Here is a 22,961-nt window from a genome sequence, read left to right as displayed (position 1 = left end):
TTCCTCCAGGCCAGACTGAGGTGGCGCTATCTCGGTTCACTGCAAGCTCCGCCTTCCGGGTTCACCCCATTCTCCTGCCTCAGCCTCCCGAGTAGCTGGGACTACAGGCGCCCGCCACCGTGCCCGGCTAGTTTTTTGTATTTTTAGTAGGGATGGGGTTTCACCGTGTTAGCCAAGATGGTCTCGATATCCTGACCTCGTGATCCGCCTGCCTCGGCCTCCCAAAGTTCTGGGATTACAGGCGTGAGCCACGGCGCCCGGCGTGGTCTCTGCCTTTTCATACTGAAAGGCCAGTGCTTTGATTATGCCCCAACTGATTTTAATTAAACAACTCAATTAATAACTGAGAATAACTGAGTAACAAGGTGTTTTTTTAATGGCTAGATAATAATAATGTTAACTCCTAATCACAGGACACTTCCTATGTACTGGGATGAGCACTTCACATACATTGTGTCTTTTAATTCTCACAATACCTTAATGAGGTAAATGTTAAGGCCTCTTTTTTACTGATGAGCACCCTGCCCAAATCATGAGTTCCAACTTGCTTCTCCCCATCCCCTTCACCTGTGCTTGGATCTACTGCAGATACTACATCCCTTTAAATAGAAAACTAATCAAATAGTCAAAAAACTCGGAAGCATCTGCAAGGACACTAGAAAATTCGTCTAGAATTTGGTCTCTTCATAAAGAGGAACTGTCAGTTCTTTTCTAGACAAGAGTTATAAAAAACATCAATAGCTTTTGCAACTCATTTATACCATATTTTTTTAAATTATACTTTAAGTTTTAGGGTACATGTGCACAATGTGCAGGTTTGTTACATATGTATACATGTGCCATGCTGGTGTGTTGCACCCATTAACTCATCATTTACATTAGGTATATCTCCTAATGCTATCCCTCCTCCCTCCCCCCACCCCATGATAGGCCCCAGTGTGTGATGATCCCCTTCCTGTGTCCAAGTGTTCTCATTGTTCAGTTCCCACCTATGAGTGAGAACATGAGGTGTTTGGTTTTTTGTCCTTGTGATAGTTTGCTGAGAATGATGGTTTCTGGCTTCATCCGTGTCCCTACAAAGGACATGAACTCATTCTTTTTTATGGCTGCATAGTATTCCATGGTGTATATGTGCCACATTTTCTTAATTCAGTCTACCATTGATGGACATTTGGGTTGGGTCCAAGTCTTTGCTATTGTGCATAGTGCCGCAATAAACATACGTGTGCATGTGTCTTTATAGCAGTATGATTTATAATCCTTTGGGTGTATACCCAGTAATGGGTTTGCTGGGTCAAATGGTATTTCTAGTTCTAGATCCTTAAGGAATCGCCACACTGTCTTTCACAATGGTTGAACTAGTTTACAGTCTCACCAAGAGTGTAAAAGTGTTCCTATTTCTCCACATCCTCTCCAGCACCTGATGTTTCCTGACTTGTTAATGATCACCATTCTAACTGGTGTGAGATGGTATCTCATTGTGGTTTTGATTTGCATTTCTCTGATGGCTAGTGATGATGAGCATTTTTTCATGTGTCTTTTGGCTGCATAAATGTCTTCTTTTGAGCAGTGTCTGTTCATATCCTTTGCCCACTTTTTGATGGGGTTGTTTTTTTCTTGTAAATTTGTTTGAGTTCTTTGTAGATTTTGGATATTAGCCCTTTGTCAGATGAGTAGATTGCAAAAATGTTCTTCCTTCTGTAGGTTGCCTGTTCACTCTGATGGTAGTTTCTTTTGCTGTGCAGAAGTGTGGGAAGAGCTGTTTCTGTTAATTTTTAAAATTCTTTTAAAAATATGGTATAAATATAGGTTTTATATCACATCACAGATGCATGCATGCACACTCACATTCACACACACTCAGACACTCACTCATACACTTACACATGCACATGCTACGTATCAACTGTATAAAGAATCTTGTTACTTTCAAGTTCAGAAGAATAAAATATTTGTACTTATTTTATGTAAAATTAAAATAATTTTTAAACTTTCAGCTGTCTAAAACCAGCAGATTAAGTTGATTTATTAAGAATATTTCTTCAAAACAACATTTAAACATTTTGTTTTGAGTTGACACATAATTGCCAGTGTGTTAGATAGCTAAGTGGTCTAAGGCAGGGGTCCCCAACCGGGGACCATGGACCAGTACTGATCCCAGGCCTGTTAGGAAGCAGGCCGCACTGCAGGAGGTGAATGGCAGGCCAGGGAGCAAAGCTTCATCTGTATTTACAGCTGCTCCTCATCTCTGGCATTACTGCTGAGCTCTGCCTCCTATCAGATCAGCCACAGCATTAGATTCTCCTAGAAGTGCAAACCCTATTGTGAACTGCGCATGCAAGGGATCTAGGTTGTGTGCTCCTAGGTTGTGTATGAAGATCTGTCACTGTCTCCCATCACCCCCATATGGGATCGTCTAGTTGCAGGAAAACAAGCTCAGGGTTCCCACTGATTCTACATTATGGTGAGTGTGTAATAATAATAGAAATAAAGTGCACAATAAATGTAATGCACTTGAATCATCTCAAAACCATCTCCACCATCCCTCCTCCATCACTGTCTGTGGAAAAATTTTCTTCCACGAAACTAGTCCCTGGTGCCAAAAAGGGGAAAAACATAATTTTTTAACATTTTTTTGAAGACCTCAGAAGAATCCAAAGCCTTTTACAAAGAGTATGAGTGTAACTCACATAAATATTCCACTAATGCACAACAAAGAGTGCTTAGTTTAGGAAAAATGATGATTATCATCCACGTGAGTGAATGCTGCGCTGCAGTATTACAATCTTACAAAAAAGAGAAAGTGGCCAGGTGCGGTGGCTCACGCCTGTAATCCCAGCACTTTGGGAGGCCGAGGCTGGTTGATTAGTTGAGGTCAGGAGTTCAAGACCAGCCTTGCCAACATGGTGAAACCCTGTCTCTAATAAAAATACAAAAATTAGCTGGGCATGGTGGCGTGTGCCTGTATTCCCAGCTAGTCGGGAGGCTGAGGCAGGAGAATCGCTTGAACCCAGGAGGCAGAGGTTGCAGTGAGCTGAGATCACGCCATTGCACTCCAGCCTGGGCACCAGAGAGAAACTCTGTCTCAAAAATAAATAAAGAAAGTACATTTGTGCATTTACTTACTAGTGTACCACAGAGATACTGGGTTTGATTGTGATTACCTCTCAACCTTCCCTGCTCGACTTATATTTCAGAAATACAGTTTCAAGTCCCTGTGCTTCGATCGTGGAACTTACTGCATGATGTTGTAGTCTTCTGTCCATTATGGGCAACACTGAAGACACACAGATATGTGTTTGTATCTGAAGCCCCAGTGGCCAGCAGAGGTCCTGTTTCATAATAGATATAAACAAATGTCTTATCATTTATGTGTAGCTAGATAAATGGATATAAATAGATAATATAGCTATTCAGCTGAAATCATTTTATTTACTAAATGTTAACATGTTCAGTAAGATTTTTCCAAAATATAGTAGTGCCTCAGAAATTACAAAGTGTTAGAACTGCTGAGATCTTAAAAGAATAGAAAGAGACTAAGTCGATCAAGTATTTTCAGCTGGAAAAAGTTGGTCAACCAATTTATCACTTGGAATGGGAAGAAGTATTCGGAGGTTTTTCCTACATGAAACATTGAGGGGTCTCCTTCTGATGGAAGGGAGAAATCACTCCAAGGAGTGCTTTTGTTCTTTGGCAGCAGTAAAGCAAACAACTAAAACCTAAAATATATAAGCACCTGTTTCAGAAAAAATATGTGCTTGAGATACTAAATGAGATGTTAAATACGTACATATATGCATAACATATACATATATTTTTAATATATATACACATGTATATATGCGTATATAAAAATACATACACACCAGCTTCCTCTTCAAGAAGAGTACTATTTTGAATCAGTAAATTGCTTTGCTAGCTGGAATTGCTAGGCCAAGAATACCAACTTCAAATCAGATTGCATTTTTACTTCACGCTATATTTTCTTTCTCCCTAAAACTCGATATCCGGAAGCAGAAAAAAAATAAGCCTCTTTCTTTTGACATTTTGCATTTTTATAAAAGAAAGATACATAGTTTATGAACCAGTACTTAAGCATATAACCATAAGGTTCTTAAGCAATGGCTAGGATAAAATAATGAATACAAACCCATAAATTGAATCAGTTGGTACAAATAAATCAGCACTACCATGACTTTTTGTCTGCAGGTCTCTGGTTTTGGAGCAAGAAATATTTCTGTGTTACTGGTAGGGAAGCTGAACACACTAACTTGTTTTTCTTCCTGTTGTCTTAAACTTTATTCACATAGTAATTTATAAACATTTTCCTAAAACACCAAAGTAGCATCATTTTCTAAAAATAAAGGTCGATAATTGTGACTGAGACTAATATTTGTGCACTCTAGAGTCATTCTTCCCCCTTTTTCTTATTAATAGCGCTCCATGGGGGAAATCCCTTACAGATGGGGCAGTTACACAGCTGTTGTCTTTTTGACAGAAGCAAAAGTTGTTGGGTGCAGCTTCCAGGAAAGCTGAGAAAGGCCAACTCAGCGGGTGTGTACCCGCTTCCCTCTGCTTCTCCCTTTCTTCCAGCCCAGGGCACAAGTCACATCCAGAACAGCCATAGCTCCCTCAACATGGACTGTAAGGACAAAGCAAGGAGAAACAATCCAAACCAACTGAAACCAATTCTAACTACAGTTTACTCCCAGACTTTGTATTTTTATGAGGAAAAACGAGCAGAAAGGTACTTTACCTCTACTTGCCTGGTATCTGTTGCTCACAGCGAATGCAACTCCTCAATGATAACATTTGTCTTCAGATAAAAATACTGTATCTTCAGAAATCTGTAAGAAGACTGAGTTCTGGAAACCAACAGTAAACAAGCCAGTATATTTTGGTCTTCTTGTCATCAAATTTATAGTAGAAACACTTTTATTATAAAGTCATTAGACTCTTTACAAAAGTGAGTCCTCAGTATTGATTTATTTTTCCTTTGCTCCTGGATTGACCTATAGCTGAAAAAATGGATATTTCTGAAGTGGCAACACTTTCACCAACACAAGCTGTTTGTGGAGACAGTGAATGTAAGAGCCCCTGTGGTCTGTAGTATCCACATAGAGCACTGGGACATACTCACCTACCTCTGCATCTCTCCCTTTATCCACTCCCATAGTTGTGTAGTGCTCCCTTTGCCCTTGCCACACTGCCTTGTAATAATTGATTCTCATTATTTTGCCCTCACTAATCTGTGAGTTCACTGAGAGAAGAAAGGCTGCTTTATTGATCTGTATATTCTGAATGCCCATCATAGCACATAGCCCATAGATGGTGCCCACCAAATGCACATTGGATGAATGAATGTGTGAATTAAGATTATCACCAGGACACACTGGCCCTCTCTCTGTGGGACTGAGACCCAGCATCAGGAAAGGACAAATATCACCACTCTGCTTTAGGGTATTCTCTGACGGTGATTAGTTTCCAGGTATGGTAGTAAAGGGCTGCTGGGCTCTGGTTTACTAGCCTGAGGTCGTGGGTCTGATCTCTGTTCACTGCAGAGCCACTGAACTGGAAAGAGCATTGCTGTAAGCTGAAGCAGGATGTAATTTGTCATGTCCTTTCTGAATCTTTTCTAAGGAAGTACCATTGACCAAAGAGACTCTTGTTTGGAAGGCAGTGTGACATGGTGGAAAGATCATAGGGTGCGCAGCCACAGAGACAGCAGCTTACCTCCAAGATATATTATTTAACACTTAACCTTTCCAAGTATCTGTTTTCCTCTTTCCAAATAGGGATTATGTCTTCCACATAGGGCGGATGTAACGACTAAAGGAAGTGACATGTATAAAGCACATGCCTGCCCCATAGCAGCTCCTCAGTAAAGTTAATTGCAATGCTGTATTATGCAATGTGTCATACTGATGTTATGTGAAACATAATGTCAGCGTTTTTCAGGGACACTTCTAGGTTGCATGATGAGGAAAGATTGCACTTTAGGCTGAAATACCTCTGGAACATGACTTCCTTTCTAATATACATTGATCAAGGAACTTCCTGTTCTCTGAGGCTATCTCAACTGCTCAAACCAGCGCCTGCTTTTCCCAGAGGGTGGCGCCAGGAGCAGACTGACCCAGCATCTAACATAAAAGAACTTTCCCTCTTTTGCACACCAAAGGAATCTAGGGAAGAAACTAGGCACTATTGTTTTCACAAACCTTTTCCTTGCCATGCTTCTTTCTCTCCCCTTGTATGCTATTTTAAGAGACAGTGAATCAAATTATTTTAGCAAGAATAAGCTTTCATCCTGACATTCAAAAAGATTGATGTTCGTATTAATTATGGACCAACTCTGTCTCTCTCTACCAGCAGCTCTTTTATTTTATTTTTATTTCCTGCTGCAAACATCTTTATTCATTTTAAAGTCACCTTCTCATCAGCTTTCTAGTTCTAGAATGTTTCTGGATATAGCACCTTTTGGAAGCTTTAATAACCACTATTTAAGTTTTCGATGACTTTTTCAATTCAGATGTAATGACAATGCCTTTTCACATCTCTGCTGTCATGTAACCTGCCACTTAAGTCCACAAAGTTTGGACAAGTATGTTTGTAAATATGTAGCTATTTGTCTGTTTATCTGTTGAGAAAATGCCTTCATAAGTCCCATTATGTAAAATGAAAGTCCGAGGTCTCTGCAGACTCCCTCTCTTTGCTCCCCTTCTCCCCTTCCCTGTGCTCCGGGCAGCAGCACTTGTGGGTCTGAAACTTGCTGCCTTCTTCTGGGTGTCTGTGGCCTTGCATAGGTGTTCTGTCTGCCTGTAATAACCTCGATGGATTGTTCCTCTTGCTTTTCTCACTTTTCTTCCTCCTACCATACTTGACTCTTCCTCTCCATTTCCACTCAAACCATTATACTGAGTAATTCCTATGTCTGCTCTGATAATCATTCCAAACCTTGACCTCATTGGTCCCAGTTGCACTTTCTGTCCACCCAACTTCAGTTACATACTCTCAGGCTTTGCCTTACCTAGGAACCATTCAGCTTTAAGATCTTATATTTAAATCTGCTATTCTCTATCTAGAATCTTCTCTTCCTTTTCTGGTGCCTTATCCATGACTGACTAACTGAATTCTATACTCTTGTCGAGATCCTCAGTCTGAAAAACTCCCATTCATGTACTTTATCTCTCAGCCTCCTCTTTTCGTTTCTTTCTGTGTCCAGCTTATGCAAAAGGGTCTTTCATTTCAATCACCCTTACTAACAGCCTCAGATTTTCTTCTTATTTTCTGCCACATTGACTTGAAAAATCACTATTACAGGCTGGGCGCGGTGGCTCACGCCTGTAATCCCAGCAGTTTGGGAGGCCGAGGAGGGTGGATCACCTGAAGGCAGGAGTTCGAGACCAGCCCGGCCAACATGGTGAAACCCCGTCTCTACTACAAATACAAAAAATTAGCCGGGCGTGGTGCCAGGCGCCTGTAATCCCAGCTACTCCAGTGGCTGATGCTGAGGCTTGAACCCAGGAGGCGGAGGTTGCAGAGAGCTGAGGTCATGCCACTGCACTCCAGCCTGGACAACAAGAGTGGAACTTCGTCCAAAAAAAAAGGAAAAAGAAAAATCACTATTATGAAGCAGCCCAGTGGTCCAACTTCTTTGTATTAGCTTAGGTTCCTGAACATTGCTGAACCAAAGGATGCATCTATGGAGTTTCATGCTATATATACTCCAGGTAACCAACATGAACTAGAAACTCAGCAAACTTATATGCTGCTAGTTAGCCTCCTCCCCATTTTTTAAACACAGTCTATTTTAAAATTGCCCACTTTTCATACATTATTTCTCTTCCAAGATTATTAGCAGATGGCCTCATTTCTTATTAGACACACACATACAGACACACAAATAAGAAAAAAAGGGGTACTAAGCAGGAACTCTTTCAACTGTCGTCCATCATACATACAAGCATGCTTTCTGGATACAGTGGAAAAGATGTCCTTCCTTCAGGGTTAACCTGTGATGTGGGTTTCAGCTACCTCTTGCCTTTCTCTCTCTTCACCCCCCACCCCCCTGCTCCCCATTCCCCACATGCATATGCACATTCCTTACAAATCACTATGTAAATTATTCTCCTCTTTTGCTGTAACTCTTCTCTCCCTGTCTTCTGGCTTTCTTGCAATATATTTAACCATAAGTAAATATCTTTCATCTTAAAAAAAAATCTCTACTCTTGACTCCTTGTTTCCCTTAGTTACATACAGCCTTTTTTTCTTCTCTTCACAGTTACTAGAAATTTCCAAAACAGTATGACCTGTTCTCTTCCTATTTACTATTTAAACTACTGAAATTCATCTTTTGCCCCATCACGATGCTGAAGATCTTTTCATTACTCCACCAAAGACCTCCTTCTTGCTCAAACCCATGGACACCTGCACCACTTTTCCTTTTGACTATGCTGCAACAAAGGACAAGATGAGACAGTTTCTCCAACTTGTAACACCTAGAATGATGGAGGACATCTTTACTTTTTACCCTTTCCCACTCTCCACATCTAGAAAGCAAATTCTGTCAAGTATCTTTCAAACCCATTCTACTCGTTGCTCTCCAGACCTCCTGCTGCTGCCTTGTTTAAGTGTTGAATGCCTATCATCTGTACATTTCTGTTTCTTTACAGGCTTCTTTGACTCTAGTTTTAGTCCACCACACCCCTGGCAACAAACACAATCTATTTTTCATATTATCACTAGAGAATTTCTAGTTCATCTCATTATTTCCTGCTAACAGCAAACAAACCAAAGACTTCACTATCTTCCCATTGATGCTAGCATGAAAATTGAATGCCCTAAATATAATTTACAAAAATCATATCCTTGCTTTTGTATCCAGCTTATTTCTCACCTTTGTCTTCAGCCACACCTTACTGTGCTCTGTGCTCAGTCATTCCAAATCATATGCTCCATCTTTCTCTCTCCCCAGAACCTTTGCATATGTTTTTGTTCTTTCTGGATGGAATAGCTCTTCTCCATTTCAAACTCCCTCTACTCTCCCACCTCCCAAAAGTCACACTTTATTTCTTCAACTGGTAAATTTCTCTCTAGCTTTTAGTTCTCCATTTAGATGTGACTCTCTGAGTCCTAGAACAGGCTTCGATTAATGACTCTAGTATCCTAGACTTACTTTTGGAATAGCTCTTCTCACATTGAATTGTAAATGTAAATTAGTAGATGGCAAGTTCCTTGAGCTGGGCAGAGACCATGATTTGCTTAATTCTTTATTCTTAGAGCCTAGCTTAGTGCTTGGACATAGCCTGCACAGATAAATGTTTGCTAATAGAATACATATGAGTGTAAGGGTATGAAGACTGTCTATTGAAGAAAAATAAATGTGTTTAGTGTTTATATACTTTAAAATATTTCCATGCCCATTATAACATTCAATTATCACAGTGGCCTGTGATGTATAAAAAACGTCTTAAATTTTAACGATGGCAAATTTACTGTTATCTAATACTCAATTTTCCCAGTTTCTTAATGTAATATCTGGTAAATGTTTACTCATCTCAAAGTTGGGAAGAGATTCTCCTACATTTTCTTCTGGACGCATTTCAGTAGTAGCTTTTACATTTAGGTCTTTAATCATCTCAAATTAATTGTTTTGCATAATGTTAGAGAGAGCTGGGATTTTGTTGCATGTGGTTATCAAGTTGTTGTAGTGGAAGTTTTTGAAAAGACATTCGTTTTCCAATTAAATTGCCCTGGCATCTTTATCTAAAAGTTATTTAATCATGTATATATGGGTCTCTACAGACTCTATTCTGTTCCATTGATCTATTTGTGTACCATTTTACCTATATCATGTTGTTTTGATACTGTAACTTTACAGAAAATTTAAAACCAGAGTTCGAGTCGTTTAATTCATTCTTCATTTTAAGTAGTAATGTCTTGTATAAATGCTTTGCATTTCTGTAGAAATTATAGAATACATAAGGCATCTCCCTTATCTGCAGTTTCACTTTCCACAGTTTCAGTTATCTACAGTCAACCTCAGTCCCAAAATATTAAATGGAAAAATCCCAATAATAAACAATTCTTAGTTTGAGGTTTTACATTTAAATCTTCAATTCATTTTCAGTTAATTTTAATTTTTACATATGATGAAAGATAAAGTTCAGTTTAATTCTGCATATGGATAGCCAATTATCCCAGCACCATTTATTGAATAAGGAGTCTTTTCCTCATTGTTTGCTTTTGTCAGCTTCGTCAAAGATAAGATGGTTATAGGTGTGTGGCTACATACACATGCACTCATATGTTCATCACCATACTATTCACAAAAGTTAAAACATGGAATCAATCTAAGTGCCCGTCAGTGGTGAATTGGATAAAGAAAATGTGGTATGTGTATGTGTGTACATATATATGTGTATGTATATATATATATACACATACATACACACACACACACACACACACACACACACACACACACACACCCCATGGAATACTACCTAGCCATTAAAAAGAATGAAATAATGTCCTTTGCAACAACATGGATGCAGCTGGAGGCTGTTATCCTAAGCAAATTAACATAGGAATAGGAAATGGTCTGACTTCTATGTGGGAGCTAAACATTAAGTACACATGAATATAAAGATGAGAACAATAAAGATTGGAGACTACTAGAGAGGGGTGGGAGGGAGGGGGTTGTGAATTGAAAAATTACCTATTGGGTACTATGCTCACCACGTGGGTGATGGTATCCGTACCCCAAACCCATCACACAATAAAACCATGTAACAAACCTGCACATGTACCCCTTGTATTTAAAATAAAATTAAAATTATTAAAAAACAAAGAATCATAAGTGTTAAATTGTACATTGTTCCCAATAGTGTGATGAAATCTCATGCCATCTTTCTGTGCCCCTTTATCATTACAAGAAAAAAAAGGATAAGTGCAGTACAATAAGATATTTTGAAGGACCATACTCATGTAACTTTTATTACAATATATTTAGAATTGTTCTATTTTATTATTATTGTTATTAGTCTCTCGCTATGCCCAGTTCATAAATTAAACTTTATGTTACCTAAGTGATAGAAAAAAACACAGGGTATGTAGAGTTCAGTACTATCTGCGGTTTCAGGCATCCCCTGGGGGTCTTGGAACATATTCCCTGCAGAGAAGAGGAGGACTACTATAAACAATTGTAGAAAAACGCCAACTGAGATTTTGATTAGGATTGTGTTGAATTTACAGGCATCTTAATGTCTTCTAATTCGTGAAGTTGGTATATCTTCAAGTTACCTAAGTTTTTCTTCAGTTTCTTTTAGCAATAGTTCATGTTTTTAACTTAGAGGTTTTGCACATCTTTTGTTATTTTTATTCTAAGCAATGTAGCGTTTTTGATGCTATTGAAAATGATTTTTAAAATAATTCATTCTCCAATTGTTTGATGCTTAATTATAGAAATATAGTTTAAGTTTCTATTTTTTCCTAACTTTATTGGTACTAAAAGTTATTTAATTATTTTTAGAAATACTATGTTTTCTATTAATAAAGAGTTTACTACTTCTTTTCTAGTCTTTATATTTTTATGTATTTTTCTTGACTTAGAACACTGGCTAGGACATCTAATAAGAAATAGAGAGCAGACATTCTTGTCTTGTTCCTGAATGTGAGAGGGGAGTATTTAGAGTTTCACTACTAATTACGAATTTACCTGTAAGCTGTTTTTATTTTACTTAATCAGGGTGATGATGTTGCATTCTATTCTTATTTTGCAGAGAGTTGCTTTTTTTTTTTATCATGCATAGCTGATGAAAATTGCTAAATGATAGTTCTACATTATTAAAATGTATATTTCTTATTCTATAAATAGATTTAATAATGTATTCTATAAATATGATGATTTGCATTCACTGTTCTTTTAAACGTAAACCAACTCTTCATCCGTGGGATAAATCCCATTGATCATAAAGTATTATCATTTTTATACATTGCTGGATTCTATTCAGAAAAATTTGTTTAAGGATTTTTGAATGTATGTTCTTGAAGTGTATTTGATTGTAATTTTATTTTACTGTTTTTGCTACAATACTCTATTGGTTTCAGAATTATGCTGTCTTCAGAAAATGAGTTAACAATCTTTCCCTCCTCTAGTTTCAATACAGTTGATATTATTTCTTCCTTAAATATTCAATAGGGTTTAACCATGGAGAAGTTTTTATTACAAATTCAAACTTTTTAATAAATGTAATCTTATTCATGTTTTCCATTTCTTCTAAGTTATTTATTTGTTAGTTTATCTATTTTATATAAGGTATCAAATTTATTTATGATTTGTTATTGGGCATAAGATTATTCATAACAATCCCTTATTATTTTTTAAGTTCTGCAGTGGTTACAATGATGCACTCTTTCTTTCTTGCTAGTGATAACTTGTATTTTTCACTTTCATTAATTCCAATCAATTTATCAATTTTATTAATTTTTAATTAATGTTTTATCAACCTTTTCACAAAAACAAACTTTACCTTTGTATGTTATATACATATATACTGTTTTTATATTTTCAATTTTATTGATTACTGCTTCCTTTAATTCTGTCCTCCTTTCCTTAGGTTTAAATTGCTCTTTCTCTAGCTTCTTATGATTGGAAATTAAAGAATTATTTATAAATATTTTGTCTTTTCTAATATGAGCATTTAATTAATAAATTTCCCATGACATCTGGCATTACACAAATTTTGATATTTTTATTTTTGTGTCACTTAGTCCAAAATATTGTGTATTTCCACTGTGGTTTCCCTGATTCTGTAATTCATGGGTTATTTAAAAGTGTGTTATTTAATTTCCAAATATTTGGAGTTTTTAAGGTATCTTATTTTTATAAATGTCTCATTTAATGATGTATTCAGATAATACACTTAGTAAGATTTTAATTTTTGAAATGTGTAATACTTTATGATCTAGAATATGGTCTATTTTGGTGTGCACATGAAAGTATATTCCACAGTTTTTTTGTACATGGTGCTATCAAAAATGTCATTACATCAAGTCCTGTTATAATGCTGTTTAAATCTTCTATATTCACTTAGTTTATTTGTCTACTCATTTTGTTAATTACTCAGATTTATTAAGTTGTCCACTTCTGATTGTATATGTGTCTACTTCATATTTTATTTCTGTCAATTTGATTTCTTATACTCTTAGCTCAGTGTTTTCATATGCAATTATATTTGTTCTTTCTATTTTCACTATAAAATATTATTCTTTATGCCTAGAAATACTCCTTGATTTGAGGTCTGCTTTGTCTGATATTAATAAAGCCACACCAGGCTTCATGTGCCTACTTTTCACTTGGAACTCTTTCTCTTTCTTTTTAGTTTCAGCATTTCTTGAAACCCCAGAAAAACTATGCCATAGAAGTAAGAACCCCATCCTCCAAGACCAAAGCTGCCACAGGACTAATGATGAACCAAAATATACCAGCCCTCATTCCAACATCATGTTATCTCAGTTTTTTAGATTTTTTTTTTATTAAGAGTGATTCAGGGTTTACAGAGAAATTGATCAGAAAGTCCCCTATACCTCCTATCTCTCTCCACCCCTGCACAGTTTCCCATATTAACATCTTGCATTAGTGTGGTACACTTAATATAATTAATGAACCAATACTGATATATTGTTATTAACTGAAGTTAATAGTTTACATTAGAGTTCATTCTTTATTATACTTCTATGGGTTTTGACAAATGCACAACGTCTTGTATCCATCATTACAATACCATACAGAATAGTTTCACAGCCCTAAAAATGCCCTGTGCTCCACCTGTTCTTCATTCCTCCTTCCCTCCTCCTGAATCCCTGGCAACTACTGACCAGCAACTACTGACCTTTTTATTGTCTCCATAGTTTTGACTTCTCCAAAATGTCATATAGTTGAAATCATGTATTATCCAGCCTTTCAGACTGGTCTTTTTCATTTAGTAATATGTTTTTAACATCCATGTCTTTTCATGTCTCTGGTCTATAGACGTCACAACTCCTTCTCAGCTATTTCTACCTCCTTAGGAGAAATGGGAAGGCTTGGGGGTGAAAGTGGGGTTGGGCAGGGTGGTCATTTGACCTAGGGTACTTCCCTTTCCCTGGGTCTGACACCACACCCAGACAGAATTTGTCACAGGCTATCACCCTTTTTTCTGAGGGCTCACTCATCTTCCCCCAAAGTCACTTACTCTTCCCTAGTTGCCTACATCCTCCCTTCTCTCTCCCCTATGAAGAGGGTATCTAAAAGTTTCTAGCTCTCACTGGGTTTTGGAGTACTCACTTTTCTTCCATGTGATGCTACCGTGCAAATTATAAATTTCTGTACTTTTCTCCTGTTAATCTGCCTACCATCAGTTTATTTCATAGACTTAACTATCAAACCTTCAGATGGTAGAGGGAAAATCTTCCCTCTCCTACAGTATCCACCTATCTTTAGTTTTCAGGGCACAAGTTTGTTCTATGACCTAATTTTTCTGATTGATCTAAGAAGAGTTGATTTTCAGCTTATTCAGATTTTTTCCTTGTGACAATAGGAGTGATGGCTTCCGAGTTCTTTACATGTTGGACTGAAATTGAAAATCTGAGTTTGTTTTCATCAAATGCTTCTTGGCATGGGTAGTAATTTTTAAATCATATGCCAGATATTTTGGGTGATACATTCCAGAGAGTATGAATTATGCTGTTAATTTTTCTGATGCTGTTAGACTTTGAATGTAAAATTCTATATACCTTACAAAATAATCAATTAAGTGTTAGGTAAAATAACCTTAGAAAATTTGCTGCCTTATGCAACTTTTTAAAAAGCAAAATGAAACATGGTTGTGTGGAAGGAAAATAAACTCTTGAGACCCCAAACTCACTATGCCAAAGGAAAAGTTAAGGGAACTTGGAAACTGAGTTATACAAAAACAAACAAACAAACAAACAACAAAAAAATCAAACCAAAACAAAAAATCCTGTCTTTCTTTTTGCTCCTAAACAAGTAACTACAAGATAGAAGGCCACATATCTCCCCAGGTAGCCTCCTTTACTCTGACAACATAAGTTAATAGTTTATATTCCTGGTGTGGGACAAGAGGAGACTGGAAATCATCCCGCCTTTCTCTGCTATATGATCACTTTATCTTATGTAAAATGCAGATTCACCGAGCCTGAGATATTAGACATAGTCGGCTATTCCTCTTCCCACTCCTTTTCTCATGCAATGTGTGGATTCAGTGAGCACTCATCAAAACCTCAAAAGAACATTACTGTCTCTTTTGTCCTACACTCCATCTTCTTTTTTCCTCCTTCCCTTCCTACCTGCTTTTTCCCCTTTAAATGTTGAAGCCCTCAAAACTTTCTTGGGAAAAAGTGTAGGCCACAGATCCTCCTGTGGCTTGTGTCTTTTTTTTCCCAGCCACATCCTCAACCTTTGCAAAATAAGCCTCTAAATTGATTGAGACCTGTCTCAGACACTTTTTTTGGTTTACATTTGTATCTCTAATCCCTCAAATGATGTCTGCTTGTACTGGGATGTAGCAAAGAGGGAGAGTCTGTCCCAGCTCCACTGGATATCCAGTGCATTATTGATGGCTTCCACTGGGATATCATCTACTTGGTCTTTGAATGATAGCCTCTGTTATTGCTGATACAACTTGTAAAATTTGCACTTGAGTATGTGCCACAACATGCTGCTGGTGCCTGTTGCCTACTATGGTTTCTGCGTATGTTGTCTATACTCGTTTTTTTTTGTTGTTGTTTTTTTTTTTTTTTGAGACAGAGTATTGATTTGTCGCCCAGGTTGGAGTACAGTGGCGAGACCTGGGCTCACTGCAATCTCTGCCTCCTGTGTTCAAGCAATTATCCTGCCTCAGGCTCCCGAGTAGCTGGGAAAACAGGAGCGGGCCACCATGCTTGCCTAATTTTTGTATTTTTGCACAGATGGGGTTTTGCCCTGTTGGCCAGGCTGGTCTCGAACTCCTGACCTCAGGCGATATGCCAGCATTGGCCTCCCAAAGTACTGGGATTACAGGCATGTGCCACTGCCCTCAGCCAGTTGTCTATCCTCTTTACCCTCCCATTCCCATTGTCATGCACTTTTCAGTCTTTTGCCTCTTTCAACATTCCTGGGTCTTCCACTGTGTTGTGCAAGAATGTGGATTCTTGAGTCTGCATTGAGCCAATAGGCCCTGTTTTGGAGCTACCTCTTCTATCCCATTCACTAATGAGTTTTATCTACTCTCAGCAAAACAAGGATCTTGTGTATGAAAAGTCTCACAGCAAACTGTTTCTCTTGAAATAAGCTTAAGAGCCTATATTTGAAGTAAAATATGTATATATGTATTTACATATATGTAAATAAAACACTAACCCTTTTATTCTCAGCTGAGCTTATCCCACCCTCTGATGCAATAGAAATCTCAGGCTCAATAAACAGAGATCAATAGACAATTTAAATAATCATAAGTAACAACATATAGAATAATATATTTAAATATTGTCTCAGTATACTATACATGAAAATCATAATTTAAATATAGAAGAAACAGAATTGTGTCATGAAGAAAAAAGAGAATCTACTTGATCTTGAAGCCTAAAATACTCTTCTCCAAGTGGCAAGAATTTAGAAATAGCCTTACATTTTCTTCTCTAGGAATCAATCACATTGCTGAATGTATGATGCGTAATGCTGAAAAACATTATAGTATTTTAAATTACTTTGCTTTGTTTTCAATTTTATTATCCTCCTATAGATAATGATTGAATGTCTTAATAGTGGTTATGCAGCAGAATTTAAATATTACAAACTTAAGAATGTGAAAATAATATTAGAGCTAACAACAGTCAGTGAGACTAGTACTGGAGAAAGAACAGGGCATTCATCACCTCGTTTTCTGCAGTGGTGAAGGATAGTGAAGGAGAGGATGGATAAAGAAAAGCAGGTATACATATTTTTTTAAAACTGTGAGTTAATAACTGGAAGATTTAAATTAATAGCATAAAGTCGAACATTCGATAGAGGAGGGACAAGATTAAATAAACTAACATTTTTATAATTTAAACAGGGAGCCAATATTTAAACAAGGCTTATAGCTTAAGAAGCTGAGTATATACTTTGAAATTGTGAAGATTATTAAAAGATACAAACAGTTCTAAGGGAAATTAAATGGGGAGTGGGACTAGAAGTGCAAGAAAATGGGGTAAAATATTTCAAATTTTTTTATTCTTCCATATGGATTTTTTTTTTTACTATGTAATATATTGCTTTTTGTACATTTAAATATTTTAAAAATCCAATTTCCCAAAATACTTCTATATCATTCTCCATCACAGTTTTGCTATTTTTTTCATTTGGTTATTATAATATTTTATAGATAAATTTTCTTAAAAATAATTGTGAACATCTGCAAGTTTATCTCTGCAAAAACATAATCCCTACCAGATGTTTCTGGCTGGCTCTGAGCCCAGAGATATTAATGGAATTATAATGGAGAAGGTCTTGGGCAAATATATTTGTCAGGCTAACTGTGAATTTGATCTTAAATTGTACTAAAGCCTGTGATAGGGTGGCATTAAGTAAAACTGCCGTGGGACTTCAGCAGTTGATCCGAACAGCTGGCTGATTCTATTCTCTTCTGTTCTCTGCTTCAAAAGCCAAGTTTGTCCTTATATCATGTTATATAACCCAAGATTAAGATTGGTTTTGCAGAGAATTTTAAAACTCTTTATATATATTTGAATGTCAACTATCACTAAAACTGTTTATGTATATTTGAATGTCAACTATCACTTGGACTCTTGTGATCCCAATGTTTTCTTTGTTCCTATCTACTTATACCTCCATTTTTAATCTTTTTCCCACTTCGGTAGGATCAAAGAAAAGTAGAAATTAATTACTGAAAATATATTTCAATAGTCATCAAAGAAGATCAATGAGAATCAAATCGTTTCAGCATTATTTTTAAGCCGGATTTAATTCTAAAGTCTTTTAGTTTGCTCTGTAAGGTTTTGTATAGTCTGTTCTTCTTATAGAAGTTTATTATATTAAGATAAGACACTTGCATCTAGGTGGCAGTTCTAGGTTCCCCACAAGTTCCTAACTGCCTGAGAGGTGGCTGACTGAGTTGCCATCAGGTCAGGCCCGGAGCCACAGTCTTTCACAGAAGAGATTCATGTTATCTTTACTATGCAAAGCTGAATAGGGGAATAGCAGAAAGAATTTGACACTGACTCTTCTTACTTATTTCCTTATTCCTTCCCTGAAGATTATAATCTCTTTAAAAGCAGGAATAAATTCTGAGTCTTTCTTGTAGTTCTTTGTCTTGGACACAGGACAATTTCTGGAAACATTGAAGCTGAATTCATTTGTTATAACTAAAGTTCTCACTTCTTTCTTGATTGGTTTGATGTGTGTATATGTATGTGTGTATACAGACATACATGTTTTTACTGTCATAAAAAAATCCTGGACTTCCAGCTTCTACTTAGAACACAGAAAGTTGGAAAGAATATCATTCTCATAATAATAACAGGGAAAATTCAGGAAATGTAAAAATTATTAAATGTATCAACCTCAAACAGGTGAGGTTGCCAAGAAAGCCACTAACCTGAAATCTAAGGAAAGGCAGGCACTTCCAGCAGGAGATGGAACTAACCTATGCAAAGGAGGGGAGGAAGACAGACCCTCCATTTAAGTGAGAAGGAGAAAATTTCACTAACATATTTAGTGAATTGTTAAAATTTGAGAGTGGGATAATGTAAGGCCCCTGGGGACTTAGACACAAATGGAGTTCACAAGAACTTAGATGAAAAATACAGATGGTACAGCAAGAGACCCTAGAAAGCATACCTTGTAGTTTAGGCCTAGAAGACACAAATATCTTCACTAATGACCAAGCAGAACAGCCGGTCACATGTTCAGGCATAAATGCTATTTACCCAGTCTCTACTGTCCTGTACATTTGACTTCTACTAAAAATATATAGCACATTAAAAAATGAGAAAAAACCTCACCCCATTGCCAAGAGGCAAAAAAAGACTCATATATGAAGCAGATATTGGAACTATGAGATGGAGAATTAAAAATTACTATAATTAATATGCTAAAGAATCTTGTGGAAAAAGTGTAACGCATGCATGAACACATGGGGAATTTCAGAAGAGAGATGAAAAACACTTAAAAATGCTCAAATTCAAGGGCTAGAATTAAAATACAGAAACAGAAATGAAGCATGTCATTGAATAATTCATTGGCAGACTCAACAAACATAAGGGACATAAAAATTAGTGAATAGGTCAATAGAAATTACCCAGACTGAAACACAATGATAAAAGATACTGGGAAAAATAAAAACAGAACAAAGCATGTAAGTACTGTAGAATAACATCCAAGGAGCTAACATTTGTGTAATTTGAATCCTAGAAGGAAATAAAAAGATAATGAAACTTATGAATTATTTAAAGAGATAATGACTGATAATTTTCCAAAAATAGCAAAAGACATAAAATCATACATCAAGAAAGCTCAGGGAACACCAAGTGGAATAAAATGAAAACATTCTCTCACTCCCATACACACACGAACCCCAACACTCCCACACAGACATCTACATACATTGTATTCAAACCACAGAAAGTCAAAGAGAAAGGGCAATTTTTTTCATGCAGTTCGGCAAAAAAGGCATATATATATATATATATATATATATATATATGTAATATGACTGTTCATATACATAATATGACTTTGTTCATATATATGTAATATGACTTTGTTCATATATATATATATATATATATATATATAAAACAAAGGAGTAAAAATATAACAGATTTCTCATTAGAAACTGTGCATGCCAGAAGACGATGGAGTGATATCTTCAAAGGGATGGGAAAAGAAAAAAACCAACACAGAATTTTACATCCAGTGAAAGTATACTTCAGAAATTAAAACAATTTTTTTAAAAAAGGATATACTTTTTGATCAACAGACTGACACTAGAAGAAATATTTTAAAAAATTACTTGAGTGGAAGAATATGATAATACACAGGAACTTGGATCCACAAAAAGAAAGAAAGTTCTTCAGAAACAGCTAAAAAGAAAGTAAGTACAAAATACATTTTGTTCTTAGTAATTGTTTTAGAAGGGAATTGACTGTCTTAAAAGTAAAAATAGAGTATATTTGGGGTTTACTGCATATTCAAAAGTAAAATACATGATAACAACAGCACAGAAAGAAAAGAGGGAATCGTTAGGAGCATGTGGTTGTCAGGCTTATAATTATGTGAAGTGATATAATATTGTTTAAAATTACTGTAATTATTTGATAATATATATTGTAAACTTAATGACAACAACTAAAAAATATTTTAAAGAAAGTCTGGGCCGGGTGTGGTGGCTCACGTCTGTAATCCCAGCACTTTGGGAAGCCAAGGCAGGCAGATCACGAGGTGAGGAGATCGAGACCATCCTGGCTAACATGGTGAAACCTCGTCTCTACTAAAAATATTAAAAAATTAGCCGGGCATGGTGGTGGGTGCCTGTAGTCCCAGCTACTCGGGAGGCTGAGGCAGGAGAATGGTGTGAACCCAGGAGGCGGAGATTGCAGTGAGCTGAGATTGCACCACTGCACTCCAGCCTGGGCGACAGAGCAAGACTCCGTCTCAAAAAAAAAAAGAAAAAAAAAAAAAAAGGAAGTCTGAAAAATAAGCCAATATTGGAGATTAAATAGAATAATATAAAAATAGAAAACAAACATTTATTTCAAAAGAAGGCAGAGAAGGAGAAAAAAAGAACATAGAACACATGGAAAAACTATAGAAAACCTATCAATTTGGTAATTTTTATTCAGCCACATCAATTGTAACACTAAATGTGTCAAATTAAAACCATAAGATCTATAAAAGCAGAAAACATGGGCATTATTTCTTATAAAAAGTTACAACCTGCAGGTAAAGAAACCAGAGCATCTGGCCAAAACGGAAAGCAGGTGCTCCAAGGAAAAATGGGAGGGTAGGAATTTATGCTTGACATGATCAGCCAAACACACATATTGTGGGCTCTAGGAGGAGCTATGAATATGCATGGAGGGAGTCAAGTGCATGTGCGGTGAGCAAACATACATATTGCATATGACCCATGTTCATTTAGGAATGAAGACTTAACATTAAAATGTAGTAAAATTAGGCTCTATATATCAAAAGGTGAAAAACAGGTCACAAAAGCACTTTGTGTATGTCTGTAAACCAGCCAAAATGAGTTTGTGGTTGGTGGTCATTTATCAGGAAAGAGTGCTTTGTAAGACTGGTCAAATTTCATGGCGAAACCGTGATAAAGGTGGGCCACTTGGCCAGCATGTCAAATGGTTTGCCTAGATTAAGGGAGAAAACTGCACTTGTTTTTCACAAACTGGTTTCTGTTTAATTATAGGAAAGAGATCTTGAGATGGTTAGTGAGTTGGGAGAATATTGAGACGTGACTGACCTCTTGCCTTGTTGAAGCTGTCGAATCTAGTTTTTAAAGTTTTCTGGGGTCTCCTTTGCCATAAGGAGTCTGTTTCATTTTGCCTGGGGGCTGAGGGGCTTTATGTTTATTTCACAAATGCGAATGGCCTAAACATCCGATTAAAATATAGAAATTTACAGGTAGGATAAAACAAGAGCAAGACTCATCTGTACACTGCTTCAAGAAACTCATCTTAAATATGAAAACGTAGGCAGGTTAAATGAAAAAAATGAAGAGAAGTATGCTGTGCTAACACTAACTGAAAACTGGATGGAATGGCTATATTAGAATCAGGCAAAACACACTTCAGAGCAAAAAATAATATACCTGATATAAAAAGAGATATTACCGAATGATAAAGGAGTCCATTAACCAAGAAGACATAATTCTAAATGTGTATTTATCTAAAACCAGAACTCAAAGTGCATATTAACAATATTCAGACTTCTAATCTATGAACATGATGTAGCTTATCATTTATTTATGTATTCCTTATTATCTATTATCTTTTTCAGGGTTATGTAGTTATCAGGATACATTTCTATATGTATTTTGCTAGATTTATACCAAAGAATTTCATGTTTATTAGTGCTAATTTAAATAGTACTTTTTGAATTCAATTTCCAGTTGTTTATTGCTAAAATATATAAGTACTGCGGATATTTATACATTCACTTTGCACACTGCAACATTCCATTTCCCAGTTATAGTGGATTTTTGAAAATTCTTTGGGATCTTTCTATATAGATAATCAGGTCATTTGCAAATAGACAGAGTTTTATTACTTACTATGGAATCTGCATGTTTACTACTTTTTGAAACTTATTCTCCGGTTGCACTAGCTAGGACCCCCTGTAAGTTGTTCAGTAGGGGAGGCGAGAGTAGATATTAATTTCAGAGAGAAAGTAGTCTTTGGTAGATGTTTTTTATTGGACAGAGAAAGTTTCTTTCTATTCCTAGGTTGCTAAGGGATTTATATTATTAAAGGATTTTGACTCATGTCAAATGCTTTTTGTATACCTGTTAAAAGTATTATAAGGTTTTTATCATAATTTTCTTCATATGGTAATTTATATTGATTGATTTTTAAATAATGAACTAACCTAGCATTCTTGGGATAAATCCTATTTGGTCATGATACATTATCCTTTTTATATATTGCAGGCTTTGATCTACTAAAATGTTTAGAATTTTGCCTCTATTTTATGAGGGTTATTTATCTCTCATTTTCTTTTTTTATGGTGTTCTTATTTGTTTTGGATTCAGGGTAATCTTAATCTTATAAAATGAGTGGGGAAGTCTCCCTTACTCTACGTATTTTCTAGAAAAAAAAAAGTGTAGGATTGGCATTTTGTTCTTCCTTAAGTGTTTGGTAGAAGTTTTCAGTGAAGCCGTCTGAGCCTGGAGTTTCCTTTTTTGGAGGTG

This window comes from Homo sapiens, chromosome 2, assembly GCF_000001405.40.
Source record: "Homo sapiens chromosome 2, GRCh38.p14 Primary Assembly".
Classification (NCBI taxonomy): Eukaryota; Metazoa; Chordata; class Mammalia; order Primates; family Hominidae; genus Homo; species Homo sapiens.
The sequence above is the reverse complement of the archived record's forward strand: the minus strand, read 5'-3'. Positions refer to the sequence as shown.